At 38.3% G+C, this 24,872-nt stretch overlaps 1 annotated feature.

Annotated features, from left to right (window-relative positions):
* Window positions 1,347–1,446: an enhancer, noted in NCBI's record as "active region_16593". NCBI's record gives its function as "activates an Ori minimal core promoter by ATAC-STARR-seq in GM12878 lymphoblastoid cells {active_cell/tissue: GM12878}" and the evidence as "EXISTENCE:reporter gene assay evidence [ECO:0000049][PMID:35858748]".

Genomic DNA, 24,872 nt, shown 5'->3' with positions numbered 1-24,872 from the left:
CAGGGAGAGCAATCCTTGCAGGCTGTGTTTTTGGGCCCTCCCTGTATCAGCTGATTACATGGGTTTAGCCAAAGGGAGTCACAGACAGAAGGTCAGAGGGAGAGTGAAGGGGAAGAGCCAGGGTCTTTCCCCCATCTGTGTGACTCAGGCAGCATCCCTCTCAGTGTCTGAGTCTCTCCATGGCTCTGGATTTCATTGATGGATCTGCTGTATTTCAAATTCTGTCAGACAACCCTGGCCTTTGGGCTCTAGTGAACAGCCTCCTCCAGGCTGCCTGCTGCTGCTCATTTGTAGGTTGCCTCACCATCCCCTGGTCATCTTTTAGCTCTTTCATCACGTGGGGGATTGATTCCCTGTATTGTTTCCTCTGGTTTAAACACTTAGTATAATTTTTATTTTTCTGTTTCAAACTGAATGATATACCATTACAGCATTTACCTTATGCCTAAAGTAAAGAAAATTGAAAAGCATAAGTAGATTTTCTCGATCAGCTAATATTTATTCAAGCACAAATTGGAGAAAGCCTACCATGACTTCCTTAAGATAGTGTATTTAATGGCTCTCCTAACAAAAACACCAAGGATCACAGCTTGATTTAGAAGTCTAATGGTATGACCAGAATTCAGTTCACTGGATTGACTTCTTGTTTATTTGTTTTGTTCCCTTTAGATTGGCAACATTCTCAGACTTTATCTCTCTTTATCATAATACAAATTTCAAAAGAATAAAGAAGGAACTCTCCTAATAGCCACTAGCCTCCTGGAGGGAGACAGTTTTGGTTGCTGGGTCAGCTCCTCTGGCTCTGCTGCCTGCAGTGATTGAGTCTCTTCCAGACCCAGGCTGCTCCACTTTGCATCTGACCTTCCAAGCCGGGCTAGGTCCTGTCCCAGTCCAGTTTCTCTATTTATTGACTTCATCAGAAAGTTGAAGGTGTTGACAGAGTTTGTAATGTGATTTGTGAAGTTCAAACGAAGCCTTCTGAAATGAAAGGACTGCATTTCCTAATGGCCACTAATGCCCGGTAATAAACACATACTCATCAGATAATGAATACTTAGTTTGTTTTGGAATAAAAGTAGAAGTTTTATTAATTACCAATTCCTAGTAGAAATCTAAGTTGCCTTTAAACCTCAGTCAGTGCAGTGTGAATTCACAAAAAGAAAGACCACAAATATGAAAGTAGAAAAACTAAGCTATAAGAATGTTGTTATTTTAAGGGGCCAGTAAATAGCACTCTTCCTCTTTGGAGTTCTGAACAAATTTATGTAAATTATAAAAGAATCAGAAAGATAGTTAATGGACTATTGTTTTTATTATTGGAAAGGCTATAGTGGTCTTTCCAGAGCAGATATAATCACTGAGGACTGTTGCTTTATATCTCTGAGTCTTCAAACAGAGAATGAGATGGACCTTCAGAACTGCCTCTAGCAAGTGAGTCTAACTCCGGACCTATGGGTGGTTGCTCCCTGAAATAGGAACAGAGAAGAATGCACTCACCCTAGTTAATCTGAATAGAGAAAGGAGAAAGGCCCCAAGTTGAACAGGCTCAACTGTTTTTCAGCTCCACCAATGAGATGTCAACCATCCTTTCAAGAGTGGGTAGAAATTATGAAGTGATAGAGGTTTTTATTTTCCAGACTCAGGCTGGAATACTGGAGTGAAAATGAAAGGGTCTTTCTGCAAGCACCTATAGGATATGTGTAATATTTTTATCTGTGAATTTCTTACCATTGGATAAAGTCTCAATAAATGTGTTACATTAAAATGTGAAACACAAAGCAAATGATTCAAAAAAATCAGCATCGTGATTTTCACTTAAGTAGGAATCCAATACCAAATCCCTACTGGACTTAGCACAAAAAATGACTGTGGCTAATACACCAGACTATAAGTATTATTGTCTGCTGAGAATCACAAACAAAATTTTTGAGCCTTTTTCTAGAAACATGATATATCAGTCAAAAGAAATTATTTTGACATTAAATGTTACTGTTCTCCCAGAGGGAGTTTAATGTGATTTTATACAACTAATGAAAGCAAAATCTACATTCATGAAAAGAGGGACAAGGCTTTTGGTTGGGTTAGTCTCAAAAAAGCCAGAGAGAAAAAAATTCCTTAGAGTCATGCTTTCTTTCACTTAGACAATGAGAAGAGATTAAGGCAGTACCCTTCCAAATAAGACATGTTTACCTTTTCACAGAGATTTCTGAAAAAAATTTAACCTCTAGAAATGATAGCCATAAAATTAAGGATGCTGGGTGGGAGGTAGAGTGTATTTTGCAGTGAGCATGCCACATTTTCAACATCACTTGGGTCCTAAAGCTTAAGAAGCCTCCATTCTACAAATAAGAATAGCTCTATTTATATCTTTTTTGTTGTTGACAAAGACTTTTTATAATAACTTTATGTTTTGAAATTACCTCAAACTTAGAGTAGTTGCAAGAAACACGGAACTTCTGCATAACCTTTACCTAGGTGCCTTGACTGTTAATATTTTGCCACATTTGTTTCATCATTCTCCTTTTCCTTGTCTCTCCCACCTCATATATTTTTAATAAACATTTAAAAGTTGCAAATATGGTACCTCTTTATCCCTAAATACTTTGGTGCATATCGCTTAAGACAAAGATTTTCTCTTATAAAACCACAGTGCAATTATTAAAGTTGGAAAATTAACTTTGATACAGTATTATTATCTAATCTATAGACCTTATTCAAGTCTTGCTAATTGTCAAAATATTGTTCTTTATATAGTTAGCCTTTTAATTAATTCTGACTCTTCCTGGGTTCAGACTTTAGATAAAGCAGAGATACAGAAGGCAAGAGGTGTTGTACCTGTTGGTGAGGTGGCCTTTCTTATACTTAGATTCTTATACTTGGATGTTGAGTATTAGGTCAACATCACTAATGATTAGGGAAATGCAAATCAAAATCACAATGCAATACCACCTTACACTCCTGCAAGCATGGCCATAATCAAAAAATAAATTAAAAAATCAAAAAACAATAGATGTTGGTGTGGATGCGGTGAACAGGGAACACTTCTATACTGCTGATGGGAATATAAACTAGTACAATCACTATGGAAAACAGTAGATATTCCTTAAAGAACTAAAAGTAGAACTACCATTTAATCTAGCAATTTCACGACTGGGTTTCTACCCAGAAGAAAAGAAGTCATTATACAAAACATATACTTGAACATGCATGTTTATAGCAGCACAATTCGCAACTGCAAAAATGTGGAATCAACCCAAATGCCCATCAACCAACGAGTGGATAAAGAAACTGTGATAAATATGAATGATGGAATACTACTCGGCCATAAAAATGAATGAATTAATTGCATTCACAGTGACCTGGATGAAATTGGAGAGTGTTATTCTAAGTGAAGTAACTCAGGAATGGAAAACCAAACATCATATGTTCTCACTCATAAGTGGGAGCTAAGCTATGAGAATGCAAAGGCCTAAGAATGACACAATGGACTTTGGGAACTTAGGGGTAAAGGGTGGGAAGGGGGCCAGGGATAAAAGACTACAAATTGTGTGCAGTGTATACTGCTCAGGTGGTGGGTACACCAAAATCTCATGAATCTCATGAATACTAAATAACTTATGTAACCAAACACCACCTGTTTCCCAATAAACTATGAAAATAAAAAAAATTAATTGAAAAATAAAAAATAAAACAAGTTCTAAGAGGCTTTAAAAAAGAAAGAAAAGAAACAGGTTTCCACCCCCTACATGAGTTTCTATCTCTTACAGGTGGATATTACTATAATTAGAGGAATCCCAATGCAACTGGCCAATAAGCACATGGAAAGGTGCTCAACATCATTAGTCATTAGAGAAATCCAAATTAAAACCATGATGAGATGCCTCTTCACACCACTAAAATGGCTAAAATTGGAAAGACTGGCAATGGCAGGTGTTGGTGAGGAAATGGAGCCACTGGAACCCTTGTGCTCTTTTAATAATAGTGAAAAGTGATGCTGCTCCTGAAGCCGATGGCTTGGCATTGTTGCAAAATTAAATAAGCACTTACAATGCAATCCATTATTTCCACTCCTAGCTATTTATGCAAAAGAAATAAAAATATATTTCTACAGAAAGACATGTAAAAAAAAAAGAGCATTCATTATTGCCTTGTGTAAACATGAGCTTTGACCTGAAAAGGCTGTCCTAAGGTTTGCTTTCAGAGAAGCTTCCCTGGCACCTCTTCTAAGTCATATTTAATGTTACCTAGCAGACCAAGACCTCCAGTTTCCTTAAAGACTCTGCACCACCCTCTTAATGCTCCTATGGATGGTCCCACAAATACTTCCCTGCAAGCCCTCCACCCTGACTTGGGGCATCTGCCAGTATTCCTTTCTAATCGGCTTGGATTCCTACATGGTCTTCCTCTCGGCATGTAACATCTTACTGCCAGTGTTGTCCTGATATTGTGTTACTTCCTCCTGATGACTCTGAGAGATTTTACAAGTTCTGTGATCGCACAGAGATTTTGGATGAAACTGGACACTGTATTGTCCCCTAATTCTCTTTTCTATATGCACTAAATTTTCACACTCCCTGCTTTCCTCCCTCTCTTGCTAGCCATTCCCATTCACATTATAGCTCTTAGCCAGACCTTTGGGACCAAGGTTCCTGATTCACTCTGAAGCTTTCATCACCCAAACTTACCCTATCAGAATGAGGCTGGTCTCATACCTTCCCAGGCCTGTGATAAAGATCAGTAGGGATTGATCTATTTGTGTGCCCATTGTAGAATATACATGAAAGCTCATGCACATACACACACGACCATACACACGTGTGCTCACACACACAATGTGAATAGGTTTAACTGAAAGCTTTATACTGCCGGCATCAGAATCTATTATGTTATTCTTTAAGCAAGTCAGGAGATGGATTCAATGTCAGATTTGCTTATTACTATTCAGATAAACAGATAAATCTTCTTGCAACTAGCCATCTTCAATCTCAGGGTTTTCTTAAATGTAATGAAGTTACTATTAGACGGCAAGCTGGAGGGTTTAGCTACAGGCAGAACAGGCAGAGGAATAACTGGTGAAGCTCAGAGCTTAGAAAACTGGATGCACAATGTTTCTCTGTTGGATAAAAGACAAAATAAAGAAATCTAAATTAAAATATGCTAGGGCTAGTTGCAAGAAACTAGTTCGGGCACCTCAAACAAAATGCTTTCCTGCAATTTTGGTAACATTCTCCCAAATGGCCCTTGTAAGGTTAGCGTAAGTCCAAGAGATAAACAGAGGGTTAAGATATCCAATGCTTATGAGAAAGAAAATTATAGTATCTTTAATAAAATCACTTAATCACAACTATTAAAAAACTAGATACATGTTAACCACTAATTACCTACATTTACATATTACAAAGGAATTTTTAAGTGAATACTACAAATTGGCTTAGATAAATACCTTCTTATTTATATAAGCTTGTCTTCAATTGCTACTTAAATGCTCCTCACTCTGGTTTTCTTCCCAGAGGTCAGAGGTCTTCTCTGTCATTCTTGAAGTGGGCAGCAATGCCACAGAGGTTTCTGCAAGAATGACCTGTGCTAACTGCTTGACCTTATTTGAAATCGCTGACTCTTTAGTCTCTTTTGTGCTTCTCATGCTCCTGACTGCTGGATTTCTTCCCAGTTTTTCTTCTTTGACCCTCCATTTGATTTTACAGACAGAACCATAAATCTCCTGTCTACTCTCATTCTTTTTTCTCTTTGCTTTATTTATGTATTTAAAAATGAATAGTCTTTATTTTTTTACATGACTCTTAGGCTTACAGAAAAACTGAGGAGAAAGTAGAGAGTTTCTACATTTCATCCCCCACCCCAATCTTCCCCACTAACAACTCGGGGCACCAGAGCGGTACATTTGTTACAATCAATGAACCAATATTGACGCATCATTATCAACCAGAGTACATAGTTTACATTAGGATTCACTCTTGGTGTTGTACATTATACCAGTCTGACAGCTATACAATGACATGAATCTGTCATTATAGTATCATACAGAGTAGTTTCACTGCTCTAAAACCCCTCTGTGCTACAGCTATTCATGTCTCCCCCTACCCAACCTCTGGAAACATTGATCTTTTTGCTGTCTCCATAGTTTTGCCTATACCAGAATGTCATATAGTTAGAATCATACAGTATGTACCTTTTGAGATTGGCTTCTTTCACTCAGCAATATGAATTTAAGGTTCTGCCACACTTTTAAAGGCTTGATACCTCATTTTGTTTTTTTTAGTTCTGAATTATATTCTATTGTGTGACTGTACCCATAATTCATTTATCCATTCACCTACTGAATGATATGTTGGTTTCTTCCAAGTTTTGCCAATTATGAATAAATCTACTATAATCATTCACATGCAACTTTTTATGTGGATATAAGTTTTCAACTCATTTAGGTAAATATTAAGGAATGCTATTGCTGGATTTTGTGTAAGAGTATGTTTAATTTTGTAAGAAATTGTCAAACTGTCTTTCAGAGTGGCTGTACTGTTTTGCAGTCACGCCAACAAACAATGAGAGTTCCTGTTGCTCCTGGTTAACATTTGGTGTCATGTGTGTTTTGAAGTTTAGCCATTGTCATTTTGATTAGCATTTTCCTAATAACGTATGATGTGGAACATCTTTTCCTCTTTTTTGGTGGGGATTCTATTCAGATATTTTGGCTATTTTTATTTTATTTTATTTTTATTTATTTATTATTATTATTTTTTGAGACGGAGTCTCTCTCTGTTGCCCAGGCTGGAGTGCAGTGGTTTGATCTCAGCTCACTGCAACCTCTGCCTCCTGGGTTCAAGCGATTATTCTGCCTCAGCCTCCCGTGTAGCTGGGACTACAGCTGTGCACCACCACACCTGGCCAATTTTTGTATTTTTGGTAGAGACGGGATTTCACCATATTGGCCAGACTGGTCTCGAACTCCTGACCTCTTGAACCTCCCGCCTTGGCCTCCCATAGTACTGGGATTACAGGCATGAGCCATCGCACCCAGCCTTGGCCATTTTTTAAACTGGTTGGTTTGTTTATTTGTTTTACTGTTGAGTTTTAATAGTTCTTTGTATGTTTTTGGGTTAAAGCCCTTCATTAAATATGGCTTTTGGAAATATTTTCTCCTAGTCTGTGGTTTGTCTTTCCATTGTCTTGACAGTATCTATTGCAGAGCAGAAGTTTTGAATTTCACTGAAGTCTGATTTCTTAATGTTTTCTTTTATGAATCATGTTTTGGATTTTTATCTAAAAAGTCTTTGCCAAACCTAAGGTCATCTGGATTTTCTTTTATCATCCTGGAGTTTTATAGTTTTGCATTTTACACCTAGGGATGTGATACATTTTGAGTTAATTTTTGTGAAAAGTGTAAGGTCTACGTCTACAATTAGTATTTTTTTTGCATGTTGATTTTCAGTTGTTCCAGCACTCTTTGTTAAAAAGACTATTCTTTTTCCATTGAATTGCCTTTGTACATTTATCAAACATGAGCATTTCTTGCTTATCTATTCAATTCCATTGATCTGTTTGTCTGTCCTTTCACTATTACCTCACTGTCTTGATTACTGTAGCTTTATAATAAGCTTAATAAGCTTTGAAATTGAGTAGCTATCAGTCCTCCAACTTTATTCTTCTTCAATATTGTGCTGGCTATTTGGGGTCTTTTGTCTCTCAATGTAAACTTTGAAATCAATTGTTGATATCTGCAAAATAACTTGGTAAGGTTTTGATTGGAATTTCATTGAATTTGTACATGAAATTGGGAAGCATTGACCACTTAACAATGTTGAGCTTTCTCGATTCATAAACAGAATATCTCTTCATTTATTCAGTTCTCCTTTGATTTATTTTATCAGTTTTGTAGTTTCCTCATATAGATATTATACATATTTTGTTATATTTATACTTAAGGATTTCTTTTATTTTGGTGCTAATATAAATAGTATTGTGTTTTTAATTTTAAATTCCAGGTGTTCATTTGCTGGTACATAGGAAAACAATTGACCTAACCTTGTATCCTGTAAGCTTGCTATAATTGCTTGTTAGTTTCCAGAGTCTTTTTACAAAATATATTTTTTACTCTTTGAGATTTTCTACATAGAAAATCATGTTATCTGAAAACAATGATTTTTTTTCCTTCTTTCTTAGTCTGTATATCTTTTATGTTTGTTGTTGTTGTCTTATTGCATTAGCTAGGGCTTCCAGTATAATGTTGAATAGGAGTACTAAGGAAACATCCTCATCTTGTCCCTTAACATAGTGGGAAAGCATATGGTTTCTTACCATTAAGTATGATGTTAGCTGCTAGGTGTTCTTTTTTTCCCCAGATATTCTTTATCAAGTTGAGGAATTTCTCCTCTATTCCATGTTTGCTGAAAATTTTTATCATGAATGTGTGTTGGACTTTGTCAAATGCTTTCTCTGCATCTATTTATATGATCATATGATTTTTCTCCTTTATCCTATTGATGTGATTAATTGTATTAACTGATTTTTTAAAGTTGAACCAGCCTTGTATACCTAGAATAAGTGTCACTTGGTTGTGGTATAAAGTGTTTTTATACATGTTAGACTTAAGTTGTTAGTATTTTGTTGGGGATTTTTCTATTTTGTTCATGAGAAATATTGTTGTATAGTTTTTCTTTCTTGTAATGTCTTTGCTTTGGGTATTAGGGTAATACTGGCTTAATAGAGTGAATTAGAAAGTATTTCCTTGGCTTCTATCTTCTGGAAAAGATTGTAGAGAATTAGTATAATTTCTTTCTCAAATGTACGATAGAATTAACAAGTGAACCCATTTGGACGGCCTTTTTTCTTTTCTTTTCTTTTCTTTTCTTTTTTCTTTTCTTTTCCTTTCCTTTCCTTTCTTTTCTCCTTCCTTCCTTCCTTCCTTCCTTCTTTCCCTCCCTCCCTCCCTCTCTCTCTCTTTCTTTCTCTTTCATCTGTCTTTCTTTCTTCCTTTCTCCTTTCTTCTTTGTCTTTCTTTCCCTCCTTCCCTCCCTCCCTCCCTCCCTGCCTTCCTCCCTTCCTTCCTTCCTGCCTTCCTTCTTTTCTTCCTTCCTTCCATTATTTATTTATTCCTCATAATTTAGAGTATTCTTCAAGAGAAAGATGAAGGCCATCAACTTAGGGTTAGCGCCGTTTCCAGTGAACCTCAGTGTTGACTTCTGTTAGACCTAGTGGCAATGTTACTGGTATGTTGCATGCTGCTCTCTAAAGACTATCTTTAAAAGGAAAAAAAAAAAAGAACTTACATATTTTGCAATTAAATATTCCCTTTCCACTATCTAAAGAGACAGGATTTCTGCTGCAGGCTTCTGATCAAGTTGCTTACTTTCGGTTCCCTCTGAACCAGAATTTTTGAAGAAATGTGCACTTTATTTAAATATTTTAAACTAGTGTTGTAGTGGCGTTTTTCACTTAGGCAGATAGGTTGAGATTCTTGTGTTTCACCACGCTGCTGATGGTATTTCTACTTGTGTTATGATTGTGACTGCAAAGCCAGGCAAAGGGTCAGCAATACTTTCTGCACTAACTACTAATGAAGCCTTCATGGTTTTAAGTTCCTGTAGGTGAGCTTTAAGACCCTCTGTACCTGGGTAAAATCAGCCTGTGGCTGCATATGGGTGCTTTGCTGCACCCAGAATTTAGGGCTGATATACTCTGTCTCCTCTTTACTGTACCTTACTACCTGTCAGGCACTTTATATACAAATCTCATTTATCCTGACAACAACCTTGTATTCATCATTGTTCAAATGAGGAAAATAAAACTGTGGTTAAAAAGCCTCCCTCAAATGACAAATAAGTCTGAAATTGAACACAGGTTTGTCTGACCCCAGGTGATGTTTCTAATGACTATGACATATAACATCATTTACAAGTATGAATTGAGTACCTAAAGGGTCAGAAACTAATATGGTAGAACATGAAGTTTTGCTAAAATTTGGTCCATTTATTCATGGGACTTATAATTTAATTAGGGATAGAAGAAAGATACAAATGAAGTACCTTAGAACACAAGGAAGGGAAATAAGAATGAGACTGAAATAGTTAAAGAAGACATTATGAGATCATGATGCTTGGACTAAGGTTTGCATGAAGAACCAGTTACAGAACGGAGGATATGGTATGGCAGGCCTATTGCTCAATGGCACAGAATGAGCTAAGGTAAAAGTAGAAATGAGCAAAATGTGCATTAAGCTGTAGCTTCATGGGAGGAAGGTCTGTATTTGATTCATTTCTGAATCCAGTGTACCTAATGTGATACATAATAATCAAGTGTCCAATGGATGTTTGTGGGTTGAGACACTAAGAGACTGTGTCTAAAAGAGGAAGGGTTTGAACTGAAGGTAAAAAGAGAGAAGATTAGAAAGGTAGTTGGTCTGTAAACGACTCTTAAGGGCCTTCCAAGCACTAAAAAGTATGATCTTCTGAATGTCAGCTTATAACATTGGAATTAATCTGCTAGGAAATAAAGAATTTGTGTTAGAGGAAAACATAATGAAACAAGTGTTGGAAAGCATAATCTGAGATGGGAGAGAGAAAGATGACAGGGAAGCTAAAAGTAAGACTATTGCAAAAATCTAGTTTTGGGGGAGGCTACTTTGGCCTAGGATGTAGGAAGCTAGAAAGAGTAGCTCCCAGCCCAACAATAAAAAAAGACAGATAGACCACTAGACCTAAACTTTTGTCAGCCCCATCTGGTGAATTCACAGGGCAGCCAACAGTCTGAAATTTAAGATAAGACAGGTGCCTCCAAGGACCTGAAAGGCAAACACTGGCTCACCTATGGGCAGAGTGTGGGCAGAATGAGGGCTGCCATACATATGCCCTTGGGGCATAGACAGCAGTGTTTGCACCCACTTATAGGCTCTTCTCCGTGGGACATCCCACAAAAAGATTAGAAGAATAGAAGGCAGATGAAAGGACTGGAAAATTCCGCTGGACAGAATCTTTCTCTCCTATAGAACAAAAGCCTGTCTGAGGTCACTGAGGGAAAGGCAGCAAATCCTGTTGTCCCAGGTACAGGTGAAGACCACTGCTGCTGCCAGAGAGAGGGCGAAAGAAATGCCCTCTGACTTTGGGGGAGGAATAGGAAAGTATCCTGGGTCAAGCCTATTTAAGGGCTCCTACTGCTGGACAGGGCAGGAAATACTGTCTTGCAGAAGACTCACCTAAGACACAGAGCAGAGTTTGGCTGTCATAGGTAAGAAGACAGCATCACTAAACACCACCTCTAGAATCCAGCAACACAGGATTCACCTAAGACTAAAGTTGGGCAATGACAACAGAGAAATTCCCAACCCCTTTCCCAGGTAATAAGCAACAATGGTCCACCTTGGGGAGAGGGGCAGGAGTGTGGAGAGATGCTCTCTGAGGCATAGGCACAGGGATGGCTGAAAGCTGAGGGTGGAGCTGGGGAGAAAACCCCTCCAGCAGCTTGCCATTTTGTATGCTGTGCAGAGGATGAACTGCAGGGAGGCAAGGATCCTAGCAGAGAGACCAGGTAAGCAGTAGCTGCAATAATCCATGTGAGATTATCCAAACCACCACCATAGGCTTGGACAGCGTGGCAGCAGTAGTAGAATGTGAAGTGGTGTGATTCTGATTATGTTTTGAATCTAGAACCCTCAGATTTGATTTGCTGATGAAACCCTCAGATATGCTGATCCATTAGATATAGGATGTGAGAAAAATATAGGAGTCAAAGACAGTCTCTTATATTCAGACTGAAACTGAAAGGTGGTGTCATTTACCAAGTTGGGGAAGACTAAGGTAGGGAGAAGGTGTGGGTGGTAAAACAAGAGTTCTGGACATATCCTGTAGAAATCTATTCGTAACCATTTAGGGGCTTCATAATTATCTCTGCATTAGCCTTTATATCTTTGTGTGTATTGGAGACCAGCCCTGCATATGAGCTGCTAAAGGAAAGGCTTGTAGAACTATAGGCAGCTTCGTTTTTATCAAGATGCTTCTGCCATGAGGAACTGAACTTTTCCCTGGTTCACTTATATTAGGTGGCCTTACTTTCTTGATTTGCAAGATGGGGATCTTTTCATCCATAGTCATAGTTGTGTTTTGTGTTGGGTAGGAAATGTGACTTAAAATTTTAGAGGTGATGCTTACCACCTTATTACAAGTCATTTAACGACCTTTACAGATTCCATGACTGCTTAATTTTCTGACACCATCCTTCCTTTTCTGAGTCTCACTTAGAGTCAGTGGTGCATGATTGAAGTTTATGTCTTCTTAGGTAGGGATTACAAACTTTATTGGAAGAATGGGGAAACTGAGGCTCCTATGAAGTATTAATACCTTCATTATTTGGCCGTCAGAATTGGTTAAGATGTGCAAGAGGGAAATTATATTTCAAAATAAAGGCAGGGCACGGTGGCTCACGCCTATAATCCCAGCACTTTGGGAGGCCGAGATGGGCAGATCACCTGAGGTTGGGAGTTCGAGACCAGCCTGACCAACAAGGAGAAACCCCATCTCTACTAAAAATACTAAATTAGCCGAGTGTGGTGACTTATGCCTGTAATCCCAGCTACTCGGGAGGCTGTGGCAGAAGAATCACTTGAACCCGGGAGGTGGAGGTTGCGGTGAGCCAATATCGCGATATTGCGCTCCAGCCTGGGCAACAAAAGTGGAACTCTGTCTCAAAAATAAATACATAAATAAATAAATAAAATAAAACGAAATAAAATAAAATGGGTCTGCTGATACTATTTCTCATTGGCTTAAAGTGGGAGGAACAAACTGCCCTTCTTCTGAGCTAACTTCCAACGGTATTCTGATTAAGCACAGGAAATGGAGTGGTGTTTAACTCCTGGGAAGTAGGGAAGACTTTCTTCACAAAAGGGAATGTTTAGGTGAAGGATAAGGGAAACTGATAAAGCAGCCCTCAAGTTCAGGCTGAAAGTCCTCAAGTGCTGAGAATTTCAGTGATGTTTGCTGACAACGTCCATCAAAAACACCTGAACTTTTTAGGCCACATTCAAGATCTCCTTCAGAGTTGTCGTGCTGTGGCCAAGACTTGGTATTAAAAAGCCCAGTGATAACCTCAATTTTAGGTCTCTAAGGTGTACCTTGAAGCTTCTGATTTTCTCATTTCTGTCCCCCACAAATAGTAATATTTATCATGTATTAAATGTTGACTTTGTATCAGGCACTCTGCAAACATTATCTCATTGAATTTGCTGGCCAACCCTGAGAGAAAGGTGTATTTATGTTTTGCAGACAGGAGTCAGACTGAAGAAAGAGGCTAGCTTGTTTTCACATGGCTAATGAGTTGGTGAATACAAATTTGCACCCATGTCTGCTGAGTTCAAAGCCCATACCCTTTCCTATTGTGCTTTGTGGTCTTTCGAATTTTTGTAGAGCTCAACATTTTTAGGCCATGTATCAATTGCTTTGCATTAGCCTAACCAGCACACTTGCCTTTATTCAGCATGATTGGGTGCTGAGTTATTTATGTTATTATTCTGATAAATGAAGTCACCGCAGTACATATAAAATGCCAACTTCCAAAGAACTAGAATACATAAAAGGTCTACATAAAATGTTACTGAATTAAAAATTACTAGTATCAGTCTGTGGCCTATTAGAAACCAGGCCACACAACAGGAGGTGAGCGGCAGGTGAGCAAGCAAAGCTTCATCTGTATTTACAGCTGCTCCCCATGGCTCACATTACTGCCTAAGCTCCACCTCCTGTCAGATAAGTGGCAGCATTAGATTCTCATAGGAGCACAAATGCTACTGTGAACTGCACATGTGAAAAAGGTAGGTTGGATGTTCCTTATGAGAATCTAATGCCTGATGATTTGTCACTGTCTCCCATCACCCCCAGATGGGACAGTCCAGTTGCAGAAAAACAAGCTCAGGGCTCCCACTGATTCTACATTCTGATGAGTTGTATAATTATTTCATTATATATTACAATGTAATAATAATAGAAATAAAGTGCACAATAAAGGTAATGCGCTTGAATCATCTTCAAACTATCCCCCCACAGCTAGTTTGTGGTAAAGTTGTCTTCCATAAAACTGGACACTGGTGTCAAGAAGATTGAGGACTGCTCTCTTATGGTACCTTAAGATTATTATTATGAACCTTGATCATTATTAGACAGTATTGAACAAAGGAATTCTATTCATTTTGTGTTCTTGTTCTTTGGATAATTAATAATAGGCAACTTAACACATAGAGTTTCATATGAAAAAATTCAGTACCATGTTCTTTGTAGATTCAAAGAACATCCAAATCTTCTGTCAACTCTATTCATTTTATAAGGAAGGGCAGCCTTATCTTTCATGGGATATGTGCTAGATTGTCAGTGGTTTCAAATCTGGCTGTGTAGCCAGGTGATTCTCATGGAAGCCAAGTATGGGAGCACTTAGCTCACGAAGAAATTGAAGATGACACCAGGAGTGCATAGTCACTCAGAATTCCCTCTATTTGTAAGTACTAGAATTCCCAAACTCCTGGCCTCAAGTGATCCTCCCGCCTTGGCCTCCCAAAGTGCTGGGATTACAGGCATGAGCCACCATGCCTGGCCTTTGTAAGTGCTAGAACTCTAAAAGTTTCCATTGGAACAGGCATTCTTTGGATTCTTCTTTTTGAAAACTACTTTCCTAAGAGTCTTGCTTTAGTAAAAACACAAAACTAAACACTCCTTTTAACAGGAGTGTGGATACGTAAGACAGCTTGTGAGAGAATATGAAGGCAGAGGACAGCAGAAAATGGAAGGGTTCAGAAATCAGAGAAGGGTACCAGAAAATAAATTGTGCATTTCATATATGCCCTAAAGTTACTATTGTCTCCAGGTCAGCATCTGGTGTTTACAAACTAATCTACATATTCCCTACCTCCTTTGAGGATAACACCTTTTTTTAATATTCTTGGACGGAAGAGGGAACAGTGCTTCCTGCTATTAATTTAAACTATTTCCAGCAACATGGAATTATGGGACTTTGGTATTCTATTTTATGGTATCAACAACTCCTACTCATCACCTTTCAACTTCTAAAAGAATGTAATTAGAGACTTCAGAAAAGAGAAAAAATAAGTCTCCTGTACAAAGAACAGTCATTAACTAATGAGCAAACTACAAGTTGTGAACAAGAGAGCAGCACCTATTACAAGAACTTTTCCTTGATTGTTCCGCAGTGTATGAAACAGGAATTATATTGACTAGTGGGTATCACCCTGGTGTGACTGATGAAAAGGCACTCCAGAACACTGAAAAGAATACATTTTTGAAGGAGGAAGGACCGTAAATCTTCATAACATTCCAAACCAACAGCATTTCCTTTATGCATTGATACAGTGTCATGGGTATTTTTTAACATGCCTCTGATAAATACCCCGTCTTGTATATTCTTTCTGAATTCTTTTTTTTTTTTTTTTCAGACAGAGTCTCACTCTGTTGCCCAAGCTGGATTGCAGTGATGCAATCATGGCTCACTGCAGCCTGGACCTCCTGGGCTTGAGCAATCCTCTCACCTCAGCCTCCCTAGTAGCAGGAACTACAGGTGCACACCACCATGCCTGGATAATTTTTAAATTTTTTTGTAGATACAGGATCTCACTACATTTCCCAGGCTGGTCTCAAACTCCTGGGCTTAAGGTATCCTCCTGCCTTGGCCTCCCAAAGTGCTGGGATGACAGAAGTGAGTCATTGTGCCTTGTCTTTCTGCATTCTTAAGCAATAACGTTTTTTCTTGTTTTGACTTTTGCAAATGTCCTAGAATTAACATGTATACAAATATAATAATTGTAACAATACAAACTCTTTTTCCTGATCTGATAAATAGAGATACTTTATTATAATGAAAACTCACTCAATCAGTTTTTTACCAAAAGGATAGAGGGAACTAGTGGTGATCTGTGGTATGAGGAGTGTAACTGTTTTCCGGTTTGCTAACATGTCTTAGACACAGGTGCTGTCTTCTTATCAGTGATCACATGAGGAAAAGCCGACAGAATCACAGTCTACCAATGACCCCAAAGGCATCTAGATTCAAACAGAACATGATGTAGAATGAAAAATATACTAGGGGCAATAATAGAAATATTCTGAAAACAGCAGTTGTTTTAGGGCTGTTTTTTCAATATTTTGACGGAGAATGCCGCTCTTCCCTTTTTCGTCAGTATCAGCTTATCAAATAACAACTGGGTGTGGATCACTTAGAACAAAGACTATACATCTTGGACTCCCTTACAATCATATGACTAAATTTTGATCAATGAGATGCACAAGCTTAATTTGCTTGTGAAGGAAGCCTCTGGGAAGAATCCTTAAAAGAAAATAGTTCTTCCTGCTTGCTGGAATAAAGATAATGGTTGGTGCTAGCATAGCCATTTTGGAACAGGATGTAGAAATTTGCATTTTAGAAACTGGCAGATATAGAAATAGCATAACAGCAAGATAATGGAAACTTTGGCTTTGGTGGCTGTGTTTTCACAATATCAACTTGGCCTACCCTGCTTACCTGGAATTATACATGGGCAGAATATGTACTATGGTTAAGAATGAACTCTGAAACCAGATTGGTTTGATTGAGTCTTTGCTCTATTTCTTACTAGCTGTGTGACCTTGAGCAAATTAACAAGTCGTGCCTTTATATGCTCAGTTACAAAATGGGCTAATAAAAATGCCTAACTCATGAAGTTGCTGCGAGGGTTAAATGAGATAATGTATGTAAAATGCTTAGGATAGTATCTGGCATGTCATAAGCCCTATGTAAATAGTATCTGTTATTATTTGAGCTATAATTATTTTCATATTTTTGAGATCACAGAGGAAACTAATTCTAATTAATATAAAAGCTTCAGCATACATATTAGTGACCAGTATAAAGTGGATACCTAATATTGTGAATGAAAGAGTGAATTATTCCTGTTTACCCTTAAGTTTGTGTGCTGTAATAACCTGAACAGTAACATTAAAGAACATGGTAGCATATGTTAATCACTTGAATCATGAACAATTAATTAGAGACCAGAGAGTATTGTTAGCCTTGTATTCTGGCAATTATTTGGATACAATGGTGTCTTTCTGGCACAGAGCTGCAAGAATCAATGGTCATTCACTACTCACTAGTTTAGCAACTTCTCACCTGATTGTTGGTTCCAGTTCTCAACCCTGTACAGCTCTCGTGGCATCCAGCTATTAACCCATTGCAGGCTCCTCTGCTAGTGGCAAGTAATGCAGACTACCTCTATGCTACCAGCCATTGGTATACCCTTAGAAAAGGCCAACCCACTTATTATTACCCAAAGCCAAAGCTATAATTAAGAATACCCACTGCCACAAAAATGCCATAGCATATTGGCTCAATTTAAACAAGTACTTAGATCATTTGATCATTAAAGGGGAGGGCTACCTAGCCATTCTATTTCTTTCTTAGCCTGGTCAACCAAACTTAAGAATAAGTTATATTTTGTATGATATACCTATATCCAGTTTCCATATATATACTATGGTTTTTCAAGTAGCATTAGCTGGAACATAGCATTTCCATTCTATTATTTCCCTAAATGAAGAACATTCCAAGCCAAGAAAGCATATCACATCAGCAAGATTTATAGATCTCTATTAGCAGCTTTGCTACTATATATAACATGTAGTTAGTTTCAAGTTGCTCTTTAATAATCATTCCATATATTTTCTTTAAAATTAATATAAATGTATCCATCATACTATCTAGAATTTGACTGCCTTACAAAAAAGCTGGAAGATATTATAGCAAAGCTATAAAATCGACAGACTGTATGTGACACAACCATTGTATACTTGGTATTCTTTTCCTTGTACACACAGTTTGAAAAATTTCATTACTCATTGGCCCAATTTTACATTTAAATATGAATTCTTTTAATTTTACTTTGCAATCAGGTAAATTAGTGAGAAGGAGTCTAAACAATATGCTTTAATTGCATTTATAAATTATTCTCTCTGTCCTTCATAAGCATTCTTTCTTTTTTAGATATTGAAATGTGGTATCTAAATATAAAGTGCAGTAACATCTGGATCTAATTGCTGGTTTGAATAATATAGACAGACCTTCAACATTCCGTGCTTTTGAAAGGATGTGTTTAGTAGGAGGTACTGAGTCAAAGGTTGTAAAAATTTTGTACCACTAAAAATAGTTGAAATCTCAGATTCATTTAAAATGGAAATTACCACTTTCTGAGCAAATAGTTCTTCTTGATGTAAGGTGTATGTATGCTAGAAAGGGTTCATCGAAATAATGTTTTTGCTTTTTTTATATCCCATATAGCATAATTCTTAAAATCACAGTAGTTTTATTTTTTAAAGATTCCAAGTCTTATTCAAATTCAAAGCAAATATTTAAATCAGTAATCATTGAACCCATATGTTATGTAAGGTTTTGTATTGGGGGATATATTTTAGATCTATGTTATCACAATAAACTAGAGTGGAAGCATTAAATTTCCATTAAGGAGATGGGCAAATAGGTTGTCATCTGATATGGTTTGGTTGTATCCCCACCCAAATCTCAAGTTGGATTGTACCTCCCAGAATTCCCATATGTTGTGGAAGGAGTAATTGAATTATGGAGGCTGGTCTTTCCCGTGCTATTCTCATGACAGTGAATAAGTCTCATGAGATCTGATGGATTTATCAGGGATTTCCACTTTTGCTTCTTTCTCATTTTCTCTTGCTGCTGCCATGTAAGACATGGCTTTTCCCTCTTGCCATGATTCTGAGGCCTCCCCAGCCACGTAGAACTGTAAGTCCAATCAAACCTCTTTTTCTTCCCAGTCTCGGGTATGTCTTTATCAGCAGCATGAAAATGGATGAATACAGTAAATTGGTACAGTAGAGTGGGATGTTGCTGAAAAGATACTCAAAAATTTGGAAGCTACTTTGGAACTGGGTCACAGGCAGAGGTTGGAACAATTTGGAGTGCTCAGAAGAAGACAGGAAAATGTCGGAAAGTTTGGAACCTCCTAGAGACTTGATGAATGGCTTTGACAAAAATGCTGATAGTGATATGAACAATAATGTCCAGGCTGAGGTGGTCTCAGATGGAGATGAGGAACTTGTTGGGAACTGGTGCACAGGTGACTCTTGCTATGTTTTAGCAAAGAGACTGGTGGTATTTTGCCCCTGCCCTAGAGATTTATGGAACTTTGAACTTGAGGGAGATAATTTAGGGTATCTGGCAGAAGAAATTTCTAAGCAGCAAAGCATTCAAAAGGTGACTTGGCTGCTGTTAAAAGTATTCAGTTTTAAAAGAGAAACAGAGCATAAAAGTTCAGAAAATTCATAGCCTGATAATGCAGTAGAAAAGAAAAACCCATTTTCTGAGGAAAAATTCAAGCTGGCTGCAGAAATTTGCATAAGTAGCAAGGAGCCTAATGTTAATCCCCAAGACCATGGGGAAAATGTCTCCAAACCATGTCAGAGACCTTCATGGGAGCCCCTCCCATCACAGGCCTGGAGGCCCAGGAGGATAAAGTGGTTTTGTGGGCTGGGCCCCAGGTCCCAATGCTGTGTGCCTAGGGACTTGGTGCCCTGTGTCCCAGCCACTCCAGCTGTGGCTGAAAGGGGCAACATAGAGCTCAGGCTGTGGCTTCAGAGGGTGGAAACCCCAAGACTTGGCAGCTTCCACATGGTGTTGAGCCTGTGGCTACACAGAAATCAACAACTGAGTTTTGGGAATCTCTGCCTAGATTTCAGAAGATGTATGGAAACGCCTGGATACCCAGGCAAAAATTTGCTGCAGGGGCAGGGGCCCTCATGGAGAACTCTGCTAGGGCAGTGCAGAAGGGAAATGTGGGGTCAGAGCCCCCACACAGAGTCCCTCCTGGGGCACTGTTTAGTGGAGTTGTGAGAAGAGGGCCACAGTCCTCCAGACCCCAGAATGGTAGATCTACTGACAGCTTGCACCATGTGCCTGGAAAAGCCACAGACAGTCAATGCCAGCCGTGAAAGCAGCCAGCAGGGAGGCTGTACCCTGCAAAGCCATGGGGGCAGAGCTGCCCAAGACCATGGGAACCCACCTCTTGCATCAGCATGACCTGGATGTGAGACCTGGAGTCAAAGGAGATCATTTTGGAGCTTTAAAATTTGACTGCCCTGCTGGATTTTGGACTTTCATGGGGCCTGTAACCCCTTTGTTTTGGCCAATTTCTCCCAGTTGAACAGCTGTATTTACCCAATACCTGTACCCCCATTGTATTTAGAAAGTAACTAGCTTGCTTTTGATTTTACAGGCTCATAGGCAGAAGGGACGTGCCTTGTCTCAGATGAGACTTTAAACTGTGGAGTTTTGGGTTAATGTTAAAATGAGTTAAGACTTTGGGGGACTGCTTTGAAGGCATGATTGGTTTTGAAATGTGAGGACATGAGATGTGGAGGGGCCAGGGGCAGAATGACATGGTTTGCCTGTGTTCCCACCTAATTCTTAACCTGAATTTTATCTCCCAGAATTCCCACATGTTGTGGGAGGGACCCAAGGGGAGGTAATTGAATCATGGCAGCGGGTCTTTCCCATGCCATTGTCGTGATAGTGAATTAAGTTTCACAAGATCTGATGGGTTTATCAGGGGTTTCCACTTTTGCTTCTTCCTCATTCTCTCTTGCTGCTGCCAAATAAGAAGTGCCTTTAGCCCTCTGCCATGATTGTGAGAACTTCCCCAGCCACTTGGAACTGTAAGTCCAATTAAACCTCTTTTTCTTCCCAGTCTCAGGTTTGTCTTTATCAGCAGCATGAAAAACAGACTAATCCATCATCCTAGTAGTAACGTGTATGTGCACGTATATGTATGTATGTATATCTTAGCTGTTGTGTGTGATAGATCACTATGTTTCACCAAAAAGTCCTTAGGAGCACATGTGTATGTATTTAAGCTTTCCTTCCTCCAATTATAAAGATCCTTTATCCAAATATGTGTCCCATCCACAACTCTTTTGTGAGTTCTCATTTTGTGGCTCTACTGCATTAGTATTTAGAAAGAAATGTCAATAGCAACTGACTTTCATCTGAAAAGCGCTCAATAAATAACTGTCACCTAAATACTTAATTCCTGCTTAAATCAATAAAATAAACTGATCTCTTAGGACATTATACAATTATTCTATTCAGAATGAAATCTCATGTATATCTGAATTTAAAGATCTCCTTAAAAAGATAAGTGTTGCTCCCTTTCTTGAAAGCCAGTGACCCTGAATTCTGTTTGTCTCAGAAAAGGTCTCTATAATATGTTGGGCACCCGAGGCCACCTGGACCATGAGGATTCTGAGATGTTGAAAATGACCACTTCTAAAATAGGATTACAATTCATCTTGGCAAATTCCTTCTTTTAAATTATCAGTTCAACTCTAGGTATGGTGACCATTTGAAAAAGAACAACATCTCTGTTCCACAGTGTGGAAGTATCACCAAGGCCCTGGAGCCCAACCTGGGTAAATCTCCTAGGTATTACTCTTTACTAGACGTGATACCTTGGCCAATCTCACTAGCTTCTTTGGACCTCAGTTTCTCATCTGTAAAATCAGGATAATATTTGGACCTTCTTCACAGGTAGTAGTGGTACCTAAATGAATTCAATCACATAAACAGCTTATTCTTACTGAGATTGTTTGGGACTTTTTGCTTTAATGACTTGATTAAGAAGCTAGGATCAAAGTAATGTCTCTGTAGGCATATTCTAAGCAGAAATTTTGGTCAGGAGTGTAGGTGTGAAGTGGAGAATTGAGGGAAGAAGATTTGAGCCAGTTCTAAACCAGCACCAGGAATGATTCTCAGTAGGTCTTTTTTTTGGAAATAGGCCAGAAACAACTAGTCATAGCACAGTTGACCCTCTAACCCAAAGATGTGAATTTGCCTAGTATCTGTGGAGGGAGACCCACCAGGCCCTCTAGGAAACCATATCTGTTAGCAGGAGGTGGGCCAAGAATTTGGTTCTCTTAAGATTTCAGTGGATTTGGATCCTGGGCTAAAGGAATGCTCAGATCCTTCCTGTCATAGTCATCTCCCCCAACTACTCAGTTCTTTCCTGAAGCAGAGGCAGTGATCTTGGCTAGAAGAACTTCACAGTAATCAGTGGTTTTATAGCACTCATGTTAGCACTTTATGCACTGTGAAAATGCCCCCCGCATATGGCTGTTAAAAATACCTACTGATAATCTCAGCTATGGTTAGCTTAAAGAAAATTGGTTGAGCATATAACTAATATGAAATGAGAGGGCACACTTTGTCAATTTTGATCAATGGCAATGTTAAGGAGTTAATATCGCTATTAAAATTTTGCCCTATTCTTTTTCCCCTATTATTCTTATTAGCATTATCTTTCTAGAAAATCTTATTCGCTTTAGGGGAAGTTTCAGTCTTTAGTATCATTTGCAGTTTGTGCCACTGCCTTAGTTCAGACCCACGTTATTTCTCTACTGACTTTGCAATAGACAGCCTCTGACTTGGGAGCCCTTCCTCCAGGCTTCTAATCAGATCTCGTATCACTGCCAAAGTTTGTTTTGTTTGGTTTGGTTTTAGATAGTTAAAAAATAATTCCTTAAATCTCTTTTTATGACTCGCTCACTTAAAACTCTTCAGTAATTCCTTTCTTAACTACAGAATGAAGTCTAAAGCCATATCATCCTATCTTCCTTCCGTGGTCCTTCATCATCAGGTGCTGCCTTTCTCCATAGTCTCATCTCCTGCTCCTCTCAGCTCACACCCAACTCTTTGCTGTGTCCCACGCTCTTCCACATTTCTACGTGATGGCACACTGCATTTCTATCTGGAATGCCTCTCTCTATGTTATCTGTGTTTCTCCGACTCTGATGCTTCATCCCTTTTTTTTTCTGTTCTCTTCGGTAACCTCTTCTGTATGTGGCTCCCTAGAATTTTAGAGGGAAAAGCAGCATCTTGTCTACCTCTGTGTTAGAAATGAGAGAATGGAGTTCCAGAGACCTTCATTGGCCACCTCTGCTAAGAAGCCTGGAACAGAGGGGAGCTGCGTTGCTGGACAACCAGTCCCAGCCAGCATGTTCCCCTGTATCAGGCGGCCCAGCCCCTTCTTTTTGCAAACTTGGGAAGCCACGCCCCATGGATTATCTCAGCCTTCTATGCACTTCAGTTTGGCATTGACTTATTGTTGTCCTGGACATTTTACGATATGAACTTGGGTATGAAGATTCTGTACTTTGTCAGCTTATTTCTTAAACTCTTCAGTAGTTTTATTCTCCAATCTGAAGTATTAATTTCTTAAAGGAAATAAGCATAAATTATTTATCCCAAACACCCCAAGACTGCTAACAACTTATATTAGAAAATTTTAAAAAATCAGTAGAAAACAGAAAAGTAATAAATACAAATAGGCAATATGCTTATGAAAAACTGTTCAATTAGTAATCAAAAACAGGGAAAATACAACTAAATAAGATACTCTCTTTTCATAAAATCTAGTTTTTTATTACATTATTAAGATTGTCAAGGTTGTGAGGAAATAGGCACTTGCATGTCCTTTTAGGAATTACACAACTTGGATAAATATTTTTGGAGGACATTTGGAACCTGTTTGAAACCTTAAAAACATGACTGCCATGTTTTTGACCCATTCTCTTGATCCATAAAACCCACATTTAATTATTTATCCAATACAATGTGGACAGTTTTTACAAACATCTTGATCAGGATATTTTTAATAGGGGAAAATTAGAAACTAGTTCCAATGCAAAAAAAAGAAATATTGGTTAAATAAGCTACTGCATGGCCATTCAATGTAATCATAGCCACTGAAATTACATTTTTAAGTTTATGTCTTTACGTGAATTTACATGACATTGTTGACTGACAAAAGGTAAGGTTAAATGTATGTACTCTGTATGAGTGCAATTTTTGTTAAAAATATGTATACATATCACCTATGGATAAAAATATTATCTTCCCTGCATTTCTAGTACTTAGAGATATGCCTGGCTTATAGGTAATATTTAAATAAATTGAATGAATAAATACAAAAAATCTGGATATGCATATGTAAAAATGATCATACTGATTAGTGGCTTTAGTTTAGTTTTCATCTTTTTTGTTTATATTTCTTTGTATACAATAAACCCATATAACCTTTGTCATAAAAAATTTTTAAATAAAAATAGAGCTGCTCAGTTCATATTTCCAAGCAAAGCAATAATCACCATTTAACTCACTTAGTCTGAGGTGCTTCAAAAATGCCCAAATGAACATGCTCAGATTTCCTTAGTGCTGCTGCTTAATTCTATCATACCAGGCCTCCACTGACAGCCACACGTGCATTATTGGTCTACAGTTTTTAAGTGGCTCAGGCTCTACGTTCAGAATTTCCCAAATGCCTGAAGAATAGCTGCCCACCCACACACCCATCTTGCTCAGCTTAGCAAGGCTCTCTCATCACGTTCTGTATTTTCCAGGAACACGTTCTATGTAGAAAAATGGCCCCCAAGGAGCAACTGAAGCATGTGTGTAGGCACTTGGAATTGACATATTGTGGAATAATCAGAAATTTATTTGGATAAATAGTCTGTAATATAGTCAGGGACTTCTCATAATTCTGAAGTCAATGAGGCCCTTGGTGGTTTTATTTCCCTCACTTTCAAGACAATGGGATTCACATAGACTGTGGATTTACTCATTAAATGCTGAATGTAAGAACTTGTCAATGTCATCTCATTTTGGGACAACTGAGCATGGTTTCTCTTGGTAAATAATATGAACATAAAATAAACATTGCAGGCTATGTTTGTTCCAGTCTTCTTTGTGAACTGCAAATTCAGCTGCTGCTGTATTGAAGCAGATTCTGCTCATAAAGTAGTAAAATGCCTGGTCTG

This window comes from Homo sapiens, chromosome 2, assembly GCF_000001405.40.
Source record: "Homo sapiens chromosome 2, GRCh38.p14 Primary Assembly".
NCBI classification, from domain to species: domain Eukaryota; kingdom Metazoa; phylum Chordata; class Mammalia; order Primates; family Hominidae; genus Homo; species Homo sapiens.
Note: the sequence above shows the minus strand (reverse complement) of the source record. Positions and strands in the feature narration are given on the sequence as shown.